The sequence below is a fragment of the Homo sapiens genome, chromosome 5 (genome assembly GCF_000001405.40).
Source record: "Homo sapiens chromosome 5, GRCh38.p14 Primary Assembly".
Classification (NCBI taxonomy): Eukaryota; Metazoa; Chordata; class Mammalia; order Primates; family Hominidae; genus Homo; species Homo sapiens.
The window spans coordinates 53,902,959-53,923,160 of record NC_000005.10 but is presented as its reverse complement, the minus strand read 5'-3'; the positions used below and the strand labels follow the sequence as shown (position 1 = coordinate 53,923,160).

General features: G+C 39.2%; 1 protein-coding gene and 1 pseudogene across 8 annotated transcripts in view; both read left to right on the top strand.

Moving 5' to 3' along the window:
- Positions 1–20,202, top strand: part of ARL15 (ARF like GTPase 15) — a 426,632-nt gene that overhangs the window by 387,413 nt on the left and 19,017 nt on the right. The window contains exon 5 of one of the 8 annotated variants that reach the window (XM_047417338.1): positions 6,040–9,112. The exons of the other annotated variants lie outside the window; for them this stretch is intronic. Within the exon in view, the coding sequence (XP_047273294.1) occupies positions 6,040–6,150 (111 nt within the window). The 3' untranslated portion in view covers positions 6,151–9,112. Of the gene's footprint in view, positions 1–6,039; positions 9,113–20,202 lie in introns of those variants that run through there. 8 annotated transcript variants of the gene reach the window in all.
- Positions 11,038–11,141, top strand: RNU6-272P (RNA, U6 small nuclear 272, pseudogene; annotated as a pseudogene).

The window sequence follows — 20,202 nt, the reverse complement described above, 5'->3', positions numbered from 1 at the left end:
CGAATCGTGAAGAGGCAGTCATTCTCCAAAACTTGCTTGCCCTGAGTTTGAAGTTCCCTGTCACTTGAGAAGACTTCTTTAGGGTGTAGATTATAGACTTGCCTCAGAAAGGCCACTTTTTAAAAATTAATCATCAAAATAAATGAAAGCGTGTATAGGTCACTTCTGTTTTCTGTATAAGTTTCTCAGAACATGCTCTGTATACACTGGTTATTCAATAAATGTCAGTCAGTCAGCAGCATTTATGGAGTGCTGCTCTACTTGAAATGCTCATAAAGGAAAGTGAAAGTCCCCAGGGGAATAGACAGTTTTCAGATTGTTTTTCTCTTGTGTTTCTGGTTCAGGATCTACACAGCTCAGTTGTCAGCACAGATGGAAAAGTGGCTGTCCTTTTCCTATGGAGCTGTTGTTCACAAGTCAAGCAATATTCCATCAATACATCACTACAGATGTACCACTTGTTAAAATATTGACGTACTGGCCTATCCATTTGAATGCCACCTGTTTCCTCCCCGCTGGGACCTCTTGGGCTGCTCCACAATTTCACAACCAAAGCAGTAATTCCTGGCTTGGTAGAGAGCCTCTAGAACTGCACTACAGCACTGCCACCAACGTTCATTCTGGTTGGTTAGTGTCCATGACATACTCCATCTTTAATATCTTAAATGTTCCTCTTGTACTAAACATTATCTACACAGAAAGTTAGGGGACATTCAAGAATGATGCCTCAAAGCTGATACAGTCATTGTCATTTAAAAAATAAGAAGACATTCAAAGACTAAATGAACTGGTACAGTGATCCTTTTACGGTGAACTATTGGATTCTTCTCCTGGTCCTAGGGCAGAGACCAGGCCTGAATCTTGTTTGTATCCTCGTTACTAAACACAGGCAAGGGAACAGTGAATGTTAATTGAACTAAACGGAACTGAATGTAGACTTCAGACTTAAAGGAGAGAATGGAAGCTGAGATGGCCATACCAGAAACACAAACTAAGGCATACCAGAAGACAGTCTTTTCATTACCAAGTGGCTGCCAGCTGAGGGTCAGTAATTAACTGACAAAACACATGGTGCTACACTACAAGTTAAGTAAAACAGGAAGTAGTTTGATGAGCAGATATTGATGGATATACCTTGTCACTAAGGTACATATTGCTTTCAAGGTGTACATTAACTTTCAGTGCATAGCTCTGGTATGTCTGCAAAACTGAATTCTAGAACTGAATTAGACATTTTTTGTTTTAAAAGGGAAAGAAATCTGAATAGCTCAGTGTTGAGAATCAATATGATGGCACATAGTGATTGTCAAACTGCTCATTCCTGGTAACCCCAGCCTTGCTTTAGTCAGAGCAGTCTGCTTTTAATGATTTTTTGTTTTGTTTTGTTTTGAGACAGGGTCTCTCTCTGTCACCCAGGCTGGAGTGCAGTGGCACAATCTCGGCTCACTGCAACATCCGCCTCCTGGGTTCAAGTAATCCTCCCACCTCAGCCTCCCAAGTAGCTGGGACTACTGGCGCACTCCACCACACCCAGCTAAGTTTTGTATTTTTAGTAGAGACAGGTTTTGCCATGTTGGCCAGGCTGGTCTTGAACTCCTGACCTCAAGTGATCCACCTGCCTTGTGCTTTTAGTGTTTTATACGCATTATTCTGTCACTCCCTGAGTGAAATCATCTGCAAAAATTAGTTCATGTTAATTTTTACTATTCTCCACATAATTAATGGGAAAATAAAATGTTTCTATTACTGGAACATAAGTTCAAGGTTAAAAGGGGAAATGTCTAACACATAGGTTTTTGTACTTACATACTTACAATAGCTATAGGGGGGACAGTATACCCATAGGTAAGAACATGGGTCCTAAAGTTTCACTGACCAAGGGCAGAATGTCAGTTTCTTCACCTGTTAGCTGCTTGCTCTTGAACAAGTGACTTACCTCTCTGAGCCTCTGTTCCTATATGAGTTAAATGCAGGTGATAATACATTACCTGACAGAGCCGTAATGAGAATTAAGTGATGAAATGTTTCTGTATTAGAGTAATACAGTTGCTATAAAGCTTACATTCTCGATGTCTTGCCACTGTAGGTCACCTCACAGTGCAATATGGTCAGTGGGGGCACTCTGCTCCTTGTAGTTATTCAAGGACCCTGATGTCCTCTATCTTGTTCTGCTCTCCTCTAGGTCCTTGGGGCCACTTTATTCAACCACTTATGAAAAGGGAGAGAAGGACTGTGCGCACAAAAAGGGGACATCACAAAAGTTTAGTTTGAGCCAGGCCTGGAGGTTGTGCACATCAGTTGTGCCCCGACTCCCAAGACTCAGTCACCTGGCTACAGCCAACCCTGGCAAAGGCTGTGAATTGTAGTGTAGCCTTTTGCCCTGGAAGAAGAGGAGGACACAGATATTGCTATGCACTAGCTATCTAAGGCACTTACCACAGTGCCTGGCATGTCATAAGTAGGCAGCTCCTTTTATTTATTTATTTATTTATTTATTTATTTATTTATTATTTTTTAATAGAGACAGAGTCTCACTATGTTGCCCAGGCTTGTCTCAAACTCCTGGGCTCAAGTGATCCTCCCTCCACAGCCATCCCAAAGTGCTGGGATTGCAGTCATGAACCACTGCACCTGCTGGCAGATACTTTTTAAAAAAAAATTCCAGAAGCACCAGGCAGCAGCTACAGTGATGCTCACCATTTGGCAGTTGCTCAGTGACTGTGCAAATTATCCTGAACCCATAAAAGCACTCACTTTGTGTTGAAGAGCCATTTTTTAACAAAATGACAAGAACATATATTATGAAAGGCAACCAAGCAAGATATACACCAAGTTGAAACCACAAATGAAAAACATAGTGTGGGACCCTATCATCATGTCTTCAATTACCCTCCAACCCTACATATATGGGGGAAAAGTTTCTAAAATTGGGCTACTCTACCAAAAATAAAATAATAATTTGGGTAAAATAGACCCCCAAAAGTTATGAAGGTACTTACGGGAAGGAAGGATTGTTCAGGGCTTTAGCATGAGACTTCCATTTTTTTTAAAAAGTTATTCACATATTACAGCTTTCTATTAAGTAGTTATAAATTTTATTCATAAAGCTACCAATTTTTGAGCACCTACTCTGGGCAGTCACTGTGCTAAATACTTTACCTATATTTGTGCCCAGTCTATACCCAATCCCTTCAAAGACAGCTGTTATTCCCTTATTTTAAAAAATTAGGAAGCTAAAGACATTTACTGACTCGTCGGTTCAAGATTACTTGATTAGAAAATGGCAGGACAGTGATCTTTCTAGTTCAAGTTGCACAGCTCTGATACAAGGAACAAAACAACAACTCAAACACCAATGTCACTGGTTGCTATGAGAAACGAGTGAGCTGATCCAAACACATGGTATTTCAGGTACCCAGCATGGAATAGTAGGTGCTCAATAAAGGTTAGCTCTATCTGCCTCCCCTTGTTCCCTCCCTGTTGCCATTCAGTAGAAATAGACCATGGCAGCAGCTGCTGCAAGTCTTTCACCTTAATCCGAGCTGTTTATTCTGAGTGCACACACAGGCGTGCTCAAACCTTTCCTTTTTTTCCTTTCCCATCCTGTTTTGTCTCCCTCAATCACTTTCTTCTCACTTGTATTATTGTTTATAGAAAGCACTAGGCTGATCTTTTTTCTTGTCTTCATAAGAAAGGTAAATGTATTTCTACTGCTCTGCACTCCACTGGAGTGTGAGTTCCCTTGGCAGGAGCACAGATAATTTTACAAGGGGTAGCTAGTGTTACATTTGTAGATTCTACCATGATTATTTACGGTTCTGCAAACCATTCTGCATTCATTTCAATGGCTTCCCTAATTCCTTCCAAGTTGAGAAAATCTGATGGGGAGGGCTTTGCTATTTACCACTCAGTATATTGGATAACACCTTTGGCACACACCTCGTAGACTTACGATGTAGTATTTGAATTTGTTAAGGAAAACTGTATGACTGCTGATCTTTGCAATATGGTTCCTGTTTTCACAGAGATTGGCAGTGATCTATAACAAAAGCCTTGATAGGGAGGTGTTATGAGGGGTGTATTATGTCCTGTACAGTTGCCCAGTGAATGTTCACTCACACCTGGTGTTTATAAGATAAACCATTGAAATTTTCCTTCCCAATGAAAGACAAAACCAGTGGAGGAAATAAAAAGCCCAGTAGAAATCCAGAAGTTATAAAATAATTGTATATCTTCTTGTACTAATTTTAATTGTGTAATTAGATTGTAGATTTGTGTTGTTACTTTTCAAGTTTAATGGACCTTCGAAAATAATGCAGCTTTTTTTTTTACTGTCAACTTCACCAAATTATAAGATATATTTCAAAATCTCCTCTCTTTTGCTTCCAGATACTCAGACTCTTTTATTTCATTTGCTAACTGTCAATGGTCTGTGTGGCATTATCTTAAAGCCAGATTTTAAGAGCTTCATATTTATTAGTGTGCAGTCTCTATTTGTATTTTTAAGACTGTCAACCTTGGATAATTGTTGAAATTCTGCTGAGTTTGAGAAGCTTTATTTTGCATGACCCCCCAGATCTAAATCACTCTCATCTCTCATTATCACATTTATGTAAATATTTTTAGATTATTATGCAATTGACAGATACCTTTAAAATGTCTGATTTCCGGCTAGCAGCAGTGACTTACACCTGTAATCCCAGCACTTTGGGAGGCCAAGGTGGAGGATCACTTAAGCCCAGGAGTACGTGACCAGCTTGGGCAACATAGTGAGATCCCCCCCCATCTCTACTAAAAATAAAAAAAAATTAGCCAGGCATGGTAGTACACATTTGTTGTCCCAGCTACTCAGGAGGCTGGGGCAGGAGTATTGCTTCAGCGCAGGATGTCAAATTTGCAGTGAGCTATCATCACACCACTGCGCTCCAGCCTGGGCAACAGAGTGAGACCCTGTCTAAATAAATAAATAAATAAATAAAATCTGCTTTTTCTAAATTGGTTTTCTATATTTTCCTTCTCTCGACAACCTCTCTGCATTATTTCTTGATTCATTAGTAGTTATACACTTGGGCATCTAGTGTTCTTGGCTGTGGTACAAACTGAAGCCTCAGTTATCTCATGGCCATATGTTCTTATTGCATATGTCGTATGATTTCTAAGAATGGGAAATTCAGAGCCTCTTTGAGCCTGAGTTTAAGATAGACAACTCAGAATATGAAATATGTGTAAGCACAATACTGCCTTGTGTCTATTTACCAAAAGCGTTTTAAGGAATGCAGCTTCAGTTTTGATTGCCAGTGTATTCCTGGCAGACTCATAAAAATAGGGAGCAAAAGGGCCCCCTTTACCCCTCTGGTGAAGGAGTTTGATAGATGAGGGATTAGAGCAATGTTAAAGCCTTCCAGAGGCAATGCAAAGAAGATGTCCTGCAGCTTGAGTATCAGAAAAGGTTAATCTTAACTGCTCTTCTCAAGCCAGAGACTTGAAGAGCACTGTTTCCTGAATCAATAAGGATTTAAGGAAATAAACTGGTCACATTTGTAAAAAGAGATCTATTTTCTGATGTGTAGTCCCCAGAATGGGAGCAGGAGGTGGGGTTGTTTTCTTAATTTGTCTGCTCTGTGAAGGCAGAGACTTTAGATTTTATGTGTTTGGTTAGTGCCTATGGAGTATATGTAGATGTCTAATAAACACTGTGATGATAATGTTGAGGGATTGAGGGAACATTCTCAATTTGAGCTTCTATTTCTGAAGAATGAAACCCTTGTCTAAAAGGTGTCTGTATCTTATCTCCACTAGGGGCCCATCCAGGCTTGAGCCAATGGAGTAATTCTCCATCAAATCTTCTGTGTTCAAATTCCTAGGAGAATTTTTTGATGATTCAATCTATTGGTATGTTTCACTAACCTTCATATCTGAAGTGATATCAGAGACACACTTAATGAGTTGCAGCTCTCAAATAAGTTGCTACAATTGGACCTAAAAGGCTTTTCTCAGGCAAGTCCAGATATCCACTTTCCCTTATCTGCTTACTTTCAGGGGCCTTCCAGAGAACAAATGGCTGGTCCTTTTCCAAGGGGACAGATTTTCCTACCTGATGCTTTTGTTCTCCAGCAAGAAAAGAAAATGAAAACTGTTGTCTTCCCCTAGAATATTGAGTCCAGAGTAAGCTGAAGCTTTGTGTATTTCTTTTGTAGTGATTTCCTTCATATATATATGAATAGAGTGACTACTGAATATCGGAGGTTTGGGCTAGAGGTAAAACCATCTCTTTGATATGCAGAGCAAAATGAAATGATAAAACATCAAATGTTGGGATGTTTGAAAGAGTTTCCTACATGACCTGTCAGGTCTTAATTTGCTCAGAGTAATGCCTTGGGCCTTCTTGTGTTGTTAATAGCCTTTAGGGGAAATTATGTTGGAGGCTGTATCAATCATCTGGCCTTTTTCTTGTTTCATACAAGATTCCCTGTACCCTTATCTTTCTATCAGAATATTCTAGATTAGCTGTGTATTTGCTGGGCAGCCTTAGTACTGATGCCTTAAAAGAACATGTCACCTGCCCCTGTCTTACTAGGCACTTTCCAAATAATAATAATAATACTTTGTGTTCTGAAACCTAATTTTCTTTCTTTCTTTCCCCCCAACTTTTATTTTAGGTTTAGGGGGTTACATGTGCAGGTTGTTTTCCCTGCAGCAGGTAAATTGTGTCACTGGGGTTTGGTGTACAAATCATTTTGTCACCCAGGTAGTAAATATCATACCCAATTGGTACTTCAAATCTCTCCCTCCTCCCACCCTCCATCCTCAAGTAAGCCCTGGTGTCTATCGTGGAACCTAATTTTCTATTTCTCTTTTTTTTTTTTTAATATTACATTTTGACTCTTCACCTGGACACAGCCACATTGAGATTAAGGTATTCTCTGAATTAAATCTGTTCTGGGTATTTTGTGAGTACGTTTAGAATTTCAGGTCAGGTGCAGTGCCTCATGCCTGTAATCTCAGCACTTTGGAAGGCTGAGAGAGAAGGATCGCTTGAGCCCAGGAGTTCAAGACAGTCTCTCTACAAAATATAAAAATAAATTAAAAAGCCAGGTGCAATAGTGTGTGCCTGCAGTCCCAGTTACTTGGGAGGCTGAGATGAGAGGATCTCCTGAGCCCAGAAGGTCAAGGCTGCAGTGAGCCATGACCATGCCACTGCACTTCAACCTGAGTGAAAGAGCAAGTTTTAGAATTTCTATCTTGGAATAGAAGCCAAATTGGGAACCAAGAGGCGAATCACTTAAAGTCACCTGACAAATCAAAAACCAACCTTAAATCAAGTCGTTTCTCTTTCTTACTTGCTGCAATGATATTTAAAATATATGTTGCCCTGGTTGAGACTGTTTGTCTTGGATCAACATCATTCTAAAGAAAAAGGGTAAATTTGACAGGGATGCTTATTTTACATTTCTTCCTTTCGCTTTTTCAAGTTTTTACAACTAAAATAAATGAATAGTGTAGCAGCTGGAATAGAAATCTCTTACTGATTGGGCCATAAAAGTGGGAGCTTTCAGAAACAGCCTATTCTCCACAAAATAAAATAACCTAGACATTGTCCAAACTGTTCAATGCTAGACTTGAGAACTATAGTTTTAAAGCTTCTTTTGCTATGGATTTATTATCATTTATAAATATTATGAATTTTCAAATGAGTTAGCAACTATCAAGACAGGTAAATCTCACACCCTCTTCTGTGTTCCCACAGCCATTTTTATACATACCTTGTTATAATTATTATCTTTTTCACCCAGTAGCCTACGGGTTCTTTGAGGGCAGTATCAGGTCTTGGTTATCTTTCTCTCTCACAGCACAGTGCCTTGTGTGTGATAAAGCCCCCAACAAACTGAATTAATAAAAACTATAGATCATCCTGCCCAGACTGTTTTAGGAAGTATTTGTGTATCTCCTCCCCCTAGTAGTTTGGTTTGGTCAGCTCTGTGCCCAGCATCTCTGCTCAGAAGGCAAGGACAAGGGAGGGAAGGAGGGACTGAAATTTCTTTGGCTGACTGACCAGATGCAGTGGCTCATGCCTGTAATCCCAGCACTTTGGGAGGCCAAGGCGGGTTGATCACTTGAGGTCAGGAGTTTGAGACTAGCCTGGCCAACATGGTGAAGCCCCGTCTCTACTAAAAATACAAAAATTAGCTGGGCGTGCTGGCACATGCCTGTAATTCCAGCTACTTGGGAGGCTGAGGCAGGAGAATTGCTTGAACCAGAGAGGTGGAGGTTGCAGTGAGCTGAGATCACGCCATTGCACTCCAGCCTGGGCGAAGAAGCGAGACTCCATCAAAGGAAAGAAAGAAAAGAAAAGAAAGGAAAGAAAAAGAAAAAGAAGATAAAAAGAAAGAGAAAGAAAAGAAGAAAAGATTCCTTTGTCTATTCTCATTAGCAGCTCATTCAGTTCCATTCAGTGAACACTCTGAGCATCTGCCTCACTTCAGACCTTGCTCCAGATGCGGAATTCGCCAAGATGAGTGAGAGGGTCTACTTTGGGCAAAGCTCTCTGAGCCTTGAGGTCTGTCTTCATCCCAAAGAATTTGCACTCTAGCAGGGGAGAGGGGAAATGAATGGACGAATATTTATGTATTACTTGGGTTGAGGGAGCAGTCAATTCTTCAGGGAAGGGAGAGCAAGGAAAACAAAGAAGGGAAGTGACAGGGGAAGGGAAGGAGGTTCCAGAATGCATCAGGTGGATAAGTAGCAGTCTTGAAGTGTGAAAATTAATACATGGTATATTTGGGGAGACAGCAAGCACTTTAAGGCATAGTTTCAAGTAGGGTTGGGGCTTAAGTTGTTGAAGTGAGAGGGATTTTTTTTTTCCTTAAGGCTTTCTACACGATTTAGATTGTAAATCTTTGGAGGATAGACTGCTATACCACCAAGCTTTCCTCAGAGAAGGAGATCAAAAACATTGGGAGATTTAAATGTAATAAACTAATACAGAACTATAAAGTGTGTGTGTGTGTGAGAGTGTGTGTGTGGGCCTGTGCACTTGCTAATTTCACTTCCCTTTCCTTGTCCTGTCCACTCTCTGGTATATATAAATAATGAACTGATTAAAACACTCACAGAAGGGAAAAGGAGATAAGGAGGAAGAAGAAAAGTTTATGTTCATTCTAAACCCTCAGGTGCTGTGATTTCAGGAGGGAAGAAGCTGTTTATAAGTAAATAAATATACACACACATATAATAATTGTACTTCACATATATATAATAATTGTACTTCAAGATAGCGTGAATACTTGCAATGATACAGGTTAAATACCATTAGAGTGATAAAACCAAGGGACTACAGGATCTCAGAGAAGGAAAACCTCACCTTCAGCTATTGTGATTAGAGATTGAGAAGTAGCATTTGAATTGGGTCTTAAGCACAGATAGAAATTTAGTTGAGGTCATAGTAGTAGTAGAATAGTGCCAGGTACTATTCTGAACACTTTAATATTCTAATTCAATTGAGCCTCACAATGAACCTTGTGATATAGGTATTATTGTTCTTGTCATTATTATTATACCCATTTTCCAAATTAGAAAACTATGGCCTAGAGCAGTCAAGGGACTTACCCAAAGCCAAAGAGTTAGTAAGTAATAAAAAGGGGATTTGAACAACGGTAGTTTCGGCTTCAGTCCAGTTAACTAGCTAAACTACCACTCACAAGAAACAGGACAGAGGGCCTTCTAGGAGAAAGAAATGTCTTGGGCAAAGAGTTCATATTTGGAAAGGGCAAGGTGAGTTCAAGGAGTGACTAAACTCAGTTAAGGGGATAGGATCTGTGAGTATTGAGAGATGACAACCCTGCTTTGTTTTGTTTTGTTGACACAGAATATCACTCTGTTGCCCATGGGGAAATGCAGTGGTGCAGCCTTGGCTCACTGCAACCCTGCCCTCTTGGGCTCAAGCAATCCTCCCACCTCAGCCTCCCAAGTAGCTGAGACTCCGGATGCATGCCACCATGCCTGGCTAATTTTTAAAAAAATTTTTTGTAGAGATGGGGTCTCACTCTGTTGCCCAGTCTGGTCTTGAAGTCCGGCCTCAAGTGACCTTCCTGCGTCAGCCTCCGAAAGTGCTGGGATTACAGGCGTGAGCCAGCATGCCTGGCCTGACCACCCTGTTTTGAACTGTAGACTTCCCATGCATCTTCCTGCTTCATCTTCCTAGTACTTTATGCCATTGTCTAACATGCTACATACTATTTTAGTGGTTTATCACATTTATTTAGTCTTTCTTCATTAGAATGTAAGTAGCTAGAAGTTTGGGATTATTCAGCTTTGTTCACCGCTCTATCTTTAGTCTCTAGAAGAGTATCTGGCATGTAGTAGGTTCCTGTTGAGTATCTGTTGAATGAATGAATGGATAAGTTGAATTCAGATCACTGAGGGTTCCACAATACTCTAGCAATCTTTAGTCTCTTGTGGACCTCACATGATATGTGGGAAGCCACCAATCAACCTTGATCATATCAATGTGTCATGTGTCTGTGCATTCAGTGCTGCCCTTTGGAGGAGGGGGTGCTGCAAGATTATGGTGGAGAAATATAAAAACATTGAAAGGATTCTGTGGTTTGAAATGCTTTGTTCTACTTGCAATACTCTCAAGGAGTAGCTGCTGATGTGGACTGAGTTTTAAGGGACTTCAGGAGGCATTGCAACAAATCTCATCCCAACCCTATTATAAGTACCTAAAGTTACATACTGTTGGATTTCATTTCGTGTTATTAATCACTGATTTTTCATTGAAAACCGTTTTTTTGTTGTTAGTACTAGCTCAGCATGCAGCATACTAAGTAACAAGCAGCATATTTCCACTGTACACAGGCTCTTGGGCCAGACCACCACTATTGTGTCTTGCCCCCATAGCTTGGACATATTCTTTAACCTGTCTAAGCTTCGGTGTCCTAGCTTCGAAAAATGGAATAATAATAGTACTTTCCTCAATGGACTGACGTGAGGATTAGTGAGTTAATATATATATTTTTAATCTTAAAAGAGTGTGTGGTGCTCACTTTGACAACACATATACTAAAATTGGAATGATACAGAGATTAGCGTGGCTCCTGTGGAAGGATGACATGCAAATTCATAAAGTATTCCATTAAAAAAAAAAAGTCTGACACATGGTAAGGTATATAGAGACTTCGGATTGCTGGAAGGAATTCTTGGAAAGGAAGGTGAAAAAGAAATAAAGGCAGATTTTATTTATCTCACAGTTTGGCCAGAATCCTATGGCTAAAGACACCTTAACTTTACTGTTTTTATATTCCACCATCACTACCCTGAAAGATTATTTTGGAGAGTGTTGTTGGATTTGATCGTGTGGCATTAAAAATGCCAGATGACCATATGTTCTCACTCATATGTGGGAGCCAAGCTATGAGAACACAAAAGTATAAGAATGACATATTAGACTTGGGGTCTTGGGGGAAAGGGTGGTGGGTGGCGAGGGATAAAAGACTACACATTGGGTACAGTGTACACTGCCCAGGTGATGGGTGCACTGAAATCTCAGAAGTCACCACTAGAGAACTTATTCATGTGACCAAACACCACCTGTCCCCCAAAAGCCTATTGAAAAAAAGGTTAAAGGTACTTTGGAGAAACAATCAATTTAAAAAATGCCAGATGACATCTAACATCTGATCTATAAGATAGTAAGAACTGGACGGTACAGTTAAAATCCTATCACCTGAAAATATCACAGTCATGGGGGAAGGAATGAGGGAGAGAAGGAATGAGGGAGAGAAGGAAAGAAAGGACAAAGGAAAGAAGGAAGGATTCTGAAAAAATGATGTTGTAAGCATCATTCATTTTATATAGTAAAACAATTGAAGAGTCTCTTGGATTTTGCTGTAAGGGACTTGACCTACTGAAGAATTTCTTCTTACTGTGATATTCTTAAAATGTTTTAAATGAGTGAACTTCAGTTGAAGCTTCTCATACCAAGACAATTCTGATAAAACTGGAGTCCACACTCCATGGTAAAATTAAGAAGCCCTCAAAATAGTAAGAATGATCGAATATTGGTGGCTTTCAATGAAGCTTCGTGTATTCTGTTAAGCAGTTATGCCAAGGAAAGAGATAATTGAATGTTATTGTTCAACTCCAGATGGAGATATTACTTTATTTTTATTTTGTCTATGTAGTCCACTGCTTCTGTCTACAAAGTATTTAAAGTGACTCACATGAAAATAGTAATAATAAAATATTGAAATACAAGAAGATCAGAACAAAGAGAAGGCAACTATAATAATGCTCAACCCTACTCCAATTGGTCGAATCACTTTTCCAATTGAGTTTCATATTTGTTGCTCTGGGTTTTTGAAAAACGAAAGGGCAGGGGAATCATGATCTGTGACATATTCTTTCTCATTATGGAAAACAAGGAGAATGTGTCTTCCATAGGGAAAATAAAAGCTGTTCGAGCATAATTCTAAGAAGACGTTTTCTTTATATATATATATATATATATATATATATATATATATATAATTTTTTTTTATTATACTTTAAGTTCTAGGGTACATGTGCACAACGTGCAGGTTTGTCACATAGGTACACATGTGCCATTTTGGTGTGCTGCACCCATTAACTCGTCATTTAAGACCATAATTCTAAGAAGATGTTTTCTATAGAAGACATTGAGTGATCTAATGAGTAATTCACAACACTGTTATAGTAAGCGTAGTTTTGAATTTCTTGTGGCCTTTTCTTACGGTGGCATTAAGTAATGTTGAGACCCTAGTATTGAAATGCCATAAAGTGATTTGGTAGCCTTCAGCAGGGTATACTTGAACTTCATTCAAGGATAGCATTAGACATCCTGTAGAGGAAGATGGATGATCTGGCCCTTTCAATGATCTTCTCTAAAGATTACTTCTCCCAGGAGATCTGATAAAGAGCAGGGAGTTGGAGATTTCATTTCCTGTCCGGGCCTGAAGAGCTGGTACCACTAATTCTGGAAAATCCACATATAAACATTGCAGCCCTGTGGGCAGTTGTTGGATTTTCATTGTGAAAGTTAAGAATCCTGAGGGTCTTCTGGCCTGCCTGAAAGGTTGCCCACCTTCCAGAAACAGACAAACTCTTATAAATTATTATTGACTTAAAATTTAAATCCCCAAAGTGCTTAGATAAGATAAAAATCCATATTTCTTAACTATGATGGTTAAAAAGCAACTATATTTATCTGCGGCACATGAGTAGATACTATTATATGAGGAGAATGTTTATATTGTCAGCTATTGTGTGCTTCACATTCATATAACTCATGTTTGTTGAGCTTCTACTGTGAGCCAGGTTACCTTCTTGGATGTGTCTCTGCATACAGTGTAGTTTTATTTCCTTAAATTCTCTTTTTGATGTGTTCATGTGTATGTTTTTATGTTTTGTTTTATTTTATTATTATTTTTCTTTTTGAGATGGAGTTTCACTCTTGTTGCCCAGGCTGGACTGCAATGGCGTGATTTTGGCTCACCACAGCCTCCGCCTACCAGGTTCAAGAGATTCTCCTGCCTCAGCCTCTTGAGTAGCTGGCATTAGAGGCATGCGCCACCACGCCCAGCTAATTTTGTATTTTTAGTAGAGACAGGGTTTCTCCATGTTGGTCAGGCTGGTCTCGAACTCCTGACCTCAGGTGATCTGCCCACCTCGGCCTCCCTAAGTGCTGGGATTACTGGCGTGAGCCACCGTGCCCAGCCTGATTGTTTTTATTTTATTAGTTTTTTTAAAATACAAAAACTATAGTCACTTATTATTTTAAGTCCAATTATTCAGAAATACATAAAGATATATAAAAGTTAATAATCTTTTCCCTCTTTAATCCCCAAGGTTATTATCCAGTGTTATCAGTTTGATGTGGCTTCTTCCATACCTTTTTCTGTGCTCAAATAATTTTCTTAATTATTCAGAGCATATGTCTAAAACTTCAATATATAATATTAGTGATTTTTTTCAGTGGAGCCATATTTATTTTTGCTGGCAAGCAGGAGAAATTTTCCCCTAATTATAATTGATTTTCTATAGTGTACTTGTTTGTTTGCTCTGTCTTGAGGGAAGGGAGGGGAAACATTGTTATTACTCTCCCGAATAATTTAGAAGCTGAAGACTCCACCTATGAATGGAACTTTTCCTGTTCTGAACAGGACCAAACTTGATGGGATATGATAAGCATGTATTTTTCAAATGATGTCATCTTCCATCTGATGTCAACTTTTGTGTATATGCTCATTAATTTTGAGACTAGCTCCAGTGTCACAGTATCAAATCTGAATATATCCTACACACCCTTCTCAAAAGTCAATGCTCGAATATCCTTTCATTGATCTTTTGTCAAATAGGGAAGTCATCTGGTTTGTAGTATTATTTCCTGTGCATTTAGTGAGTGTACGGAATCCCAGGAACAGCATGACCCTAAAGTTGCAAAAAAGAAACATTTTGAAAATCTGAATACAAGTGGATCACCCCTTATTGACGGAGGATACATTCCAAGGCCTCCTGTGGATGCCTGAAACTACAGATAGTACCAAACCCTTTACAGTTGTCCCTCAGTATCCATGGGGCATTTGTTCTGAGACCTTTCTGAAATAACAAAATCTGAGTCAGTGAAAGAAAATGGTGTAGTATTTGCATATTACCTATGCATATCCTCCTATATATTTAAATTATTTCTTGACTCCTTATAATACCTAATATAATGTAAATGCTGCGTAACTAGTCATGCTCTATTGTTTAGGGAATAATGATGAGGAAAAAAAGTTCATTACATGTTCAGTACGTGTGCAATTTTTTTTTGAGTATTTTCAATCCACAGTTGGTTGAATCCACAGATGTGGAACCCATGGATACAGAAGGCCTGCTATAGATACTATATTTTTTTCCTATATATACATGCCTATGATAAAGTTTAATTTATAAATTAGGCACAGTAAGAGATTAACAATAGTAACTAATGATAAAATAATTGTAACAACATACTGTAATGAAAACAAATGTGGTCTCTCTTTCTGTTTTTCAAAATATCTTTTTATATGGTAGCAAGGAAAATGAAACCACGGAAAGCGAAACTGCATGTAAAGGGGGACTATTGTCTATAGTTATGACATCATTTTTGTGCCTGTGATGATGCTTGAGGATGAGAAGTCTGAAACAAGATAGTTAACTGTTGAAAAAATAGGACTGCTTTATGTGGCAATCTTAAATAGCAATCGTATCTGAAACATTTCTAGATGCCCAAAGCAATATCTGAAATACTGAGTGTAGAGGGTCTCTTCCATATTTCAGTTATTAGGCATTGCTCACACAGAGAGTAAGAATATATTAAGGAACTCGGCTGGGCGCTGTGGCTCACGCCTGTAATCCTAGCAATTTGGGAGGCTGAGGCAGGCAGATCACGAGGTCAGGAGATCGCGACAATCCTGGCTAACAAGGTGAAACCCCGTCTCTACTAAAAATACAAAAATTAGCAGGGCATGGTGGAGGGCGCCTGTAGTCTCAGCTACTCGGGAGGCTGAGGCAGGAGAATGGCGTGAACCCAGGAGGCGGAGCTTGCAGTGAGCTGAGATTGCGCCACTGCACTCCAGCCTGGATGACAGAGTAAGAGTCCGCCTCAAAAAAAAAAAAAAAAAAAAAAAAAAATATATATATATATATATATATATATATATATGAACTCTTAAGCCAACCTTTCAACCTTCTTCTCCATGCCCATTCCCTCTAGTCTGCCCCCACCCAAGAAAACCAAATACACACATGCTCACCTACACATTTGTCAAAATCTTGACTCTTAAACCCGAAGACCAGTAACTATAGATATGTGTCATATATCAGTAGGATATCACCACAAGGTATGTCTAAGAAAGCTAACTTCAGTATTCCCATTTTACAGATGGGAAAATAGATGGAATGTGGGAGGAATAGTAACATGGAGAAAATAGTTTCAAGGTATGGTGGCCATGTAGTAGTTAAATGAAAAGTAAGTCCCCTGCTAGGAAGCTGTACTTCTTGCTAGCCTCAATGAAACCATTCAAGGATGGCCATCCTTGCATGGAAACTTAAAGTAACCTGAAGGAAGAGGCAGCAGCTTCATCGCATCCAGTTGGTTAATCCCCTCTCTGTCAATCACCTGCATACAAGCTGAAAAAACTATAAATTCACATTTCTGGAGCCACATGGTCAAAATAGCACTTTATATTCAGTGTGAAATTCTTAAAATGAAACCCAGCTGGCAGATGGGAAGGACTGGTGTGGGGAGGAATATTGAGTGTGCAAGGGTTTCATGATTTTCCAGAGAGCTTTTTATGCTTTGTGCAGATATAGGAATATTTTTAAACATCTATGATGCAGCACAAATGAATTTCTTAAATCTAAACTGTAAGTCTAATTTATAATATTTCATAAAAACCATTAAGATAGTTATGCAAGCCATTGCAAATTCAGCCTTGCCTATAAGGATAGAGTGATTTGCTCATTTAGGGAACTCTTTTCAATTCCTCCATGAGTGTTAGTTAATATATTATGTCTTTTAGTGCTTTGAATAAGTCCTTTGCTTAATAACATACTTTGTGAGAAAGTGAGGGGAACAAGAAAGAGAATAGTTAGTTCAGTTCACTTCCACCTCCACCTCATGTGCAGAACTTCCCCCCATTATGTTGTACCTCTTAATTGCTTCCATTTTTTTCTCTTTCCCCAGGTTTTGTAGGAGGTAAACCATATCTTGGTGATGTACAGGGCCAGTGGTCATGCTGGAACCTGTCAAACCCCCATCCCATAGTACAATGCTTTTTGTTACTGATCCAAGCCCTGCAACCTACCGGACACATTTACAGATTTATCAAATCAGTTTGATAGAAGATTGCCCCTTCTCATGGTGCCAAAAAGCAGTTCAACCTGTAAGTAGGTTACTACATATTTGGTGTCCACGACTTCATATAAGAAGTCAGAATTCAAGTATTTCAGCAGCTGCAGGAGATTTCAGCATTTCCGTATGTTTTATGAAAACTATAATTGACTTGCTAAAAAGTGTGCAGGTTACATGTGTTGTATGGATAGATGAGAAGCTACAGTCAAACAGGCAAGAATTTGTTTCTGAAATACTGATTTCTCTAGAGCCACATCTTTTCCTTTTTTTCAGTGAAAGATTAGATGCTGTGACTAGGCACCTAAAATTTACAAACCCTATTTCAAGGACTCTGACGTATAAGTGTCCTTATGCTAAATGTGACAGGGTATCAGGAACTAAAAGTAAGTTTGTGGACACATAGAGGCAAATGCCATTTACATGTATCATTTAGAATTGTTTTGTTATTAACACTTACCTTCTAGTTAAAAATAGATCATTGGTACAAGCTATCATTTGTCAGGCATTGGAATTATATGATTTTTGTTTTTAAGCGCTTTTCTGGAATTGGCATTTTACCAAAGGAAAAATGAATTTGGTAAGAATTCATTTGGAAAGAAACAGATGATAATTTCAAGGTAAAATAGGACTATTCTGCAAAGCACTAAGATTACCTGCTCTCTAAAGAAATGTAGTGTGGAAGATTGTAATCAGGGCATGGGCTAAGAAAAGCTCAGGACATTTTCTTGATGGGTATACTTTATAATAGAATTCTGTTTCTGTTCTGGGTCTAGAAAATTGGAATAAGTTCTATTTAGGAAATATTTTACAAATACATTCAGAATAACATTATGTTTAATATTTTAACTAATATTATATTTAATAACAAGGTTTTCAGTTATAACCATAATATGCTTTCATAGAGATGAATATTTCTACAGGAAACTGTAGGGGTGTGGGGGTGTGCACATGAGCGTGGGTTTGAGTATTTTAATTTTATTTATTTATACTCGACTGTCACAAAAAAGGATTTGAGGTGATAGACACTAGTATTGATTCTGACAGTGGACATGCTTTTATGTAACACTCTAAACTTCAGACTGAAGTGGGTGTTAATGACTTCCCCTCTGAGAATGCTTTTGATTCAGACATGATGAAAAGTGTGACTGGAAATTTAGAGCAGAACGTGTAGTTAAAAGCCCACTCATCTGGCCTGGTCTGAACTGGTAGTTGAACAGTTAATCAAGAACTGGCTAAAAGGCCAGGCGCTGGTGGTTCACACCTGTAATCCTAGCACTTTGGGAGGCTGAGGTGGTCAGATCATCTGAGGTCAGGAGTTCGAGACCAGCCTGGCCAACATGGCAAAACCCCATCTCTACTAAAAATACAAAAATTAGGTGGGCATGGTGGCAGGCACCTGTAATCCCAGCTACTCAGGAGGATGAGGCAGAGAATTGCTTGAACCCGGGAGGCAGAGGCTGCAGTAAGCCGAGAGTGTGCCACTGCACTCCAGCCTGGGTGAGACTGTCTCAAAAAAAAAAAAAAAAAAGGAACTAAAAATAAATAATTTATTTTAATTTAAACATACCAATGGTACTAATCTTTTCATGTTGGGCCAAGGCCTTTTATCTGAATATGTGGCCACTAATCAGAGTTGTGTTTTATATTTGTTTCATTAAGCAGCCATTACCTATGATTTTTCAGCTTCTGTTTCTTTAAAATGGAACTATAAGTTAAAGATACTTGGGAAGCAATCTGCATCTTTCCCTCTCAATCCTTTGTAGTTATCTTATCTAAATCCAATCCAACAGCAGTTTGGTTTTAGTGACTCACCTTTATTAAGTTCTTTGAACTCATTCCATTTAGTTTTTCATAGGAATAGAAATTCTCAAGTTCATATTTTATCTGTTGGTGTCACATTTACTTATACTACTTAATAATAAATATGATTGCCATCTTGAGAGCTGTGAAGCAACCTAGGAGTGCTCACCAGTTGTCAGCATCCACTGGGTAATTACCATCATTCAGGGTGATGTGTCCACTGGTCATGAACATTCACTGTGTAGGCAACATCAATCATTTGTCTTGTACCAGGACAATGAAGAGTCGGTTGATCCAAGGTGATTAGGTGGAGACTAATCAGTAGAGCTTTTATCATAGCTCTATGTGCTATTGTTTTGAACCCAACTATAGATTTGTCCTTATCTATGGCTGCTTTATATTTAACCCATATATTGCCTTCTGTCCCTCCTTTAGATCAGTTATATAGCAAATGTTATTATTGCTGTGGTACTTTCTTTTCCTTCATGTCACTTATTCCTACCCGACTTTACTTAGTTACTTGATATCTGTCAGTATCGCTGGCCACCATGTAAGCTCCATAGGGCCAGGACTTGTTATGTTCACCTTTGTATCCCCAGAGCCCAAAACAGTGACTGTGTAGACTGAGTGAAAGGTGGCTACTTCCTTGGCACACTTGTTTCAGCCCAATTTGGTGTACTGACTTGGCCCCCCAAGATCTGTTGATCATTCATTTTGAGCCAGAAAGAAGCACAGAGAATAGGAGCTGTTGACCTGTGATGCTCCTGGACGGAGCTCCTGGTCTACCCTCCCAGTCCACTTTCTAAATCTCCTGGTTCCAGGGAGTGAGTCTGATGGTTTGTGCTGCTAAACTGTGGATTGAATCATTAACAGGGGTTTGTTCTCTGACTTTTGCCTTAGAAGATCAGTTCAGAGCAAGGTTTTTCAATCTTGGCATTATTGACCTTTTGGGCTACATAATGTTTTGTTGAGGTGAGAGGGGAAGCTGCCCTATGCATTGGAGGATGTTAGCCACATCTCCCTGGCCTCTACCCACTAGATGCTGGTAGTAACCACCTGCTCTGCTTCCCCACCCCCTGTTATGACAACCAAAACAATCCCCAAACATTATCAAATGTCCCGTGGGAAGGTACAGTTGCCTTTTCCTTTCCCTGGTTTAGAACTAGTATTTTCAACTAGTCATGGATGACAATTACGACCCAAGGCCACACTCCCAATGCTGTGGTAAATCCCAGTCAATGGCTTTTGGAACCTTTATTTCTGGTGTTCTCTTTATGTCTGATTAGAATGTTCTTGAGACATGTCTTTCACAGGCTTTGTACTGAGCTCAACTAGTCCTGTGTGGGATTTTTTGGCTAAAATTCCTCAGTACGGATTACCACTTAGCTTTTCTTTAGACGGCCTGCAAGCCTCTTTCCAAGCTCATATTTCTCAGTTGCCAGGATATTAGGCTCCTGACTGTATTGCCAGCAGGGAAAGAAATTCCCTTCCCGTGACTGACATGGCAC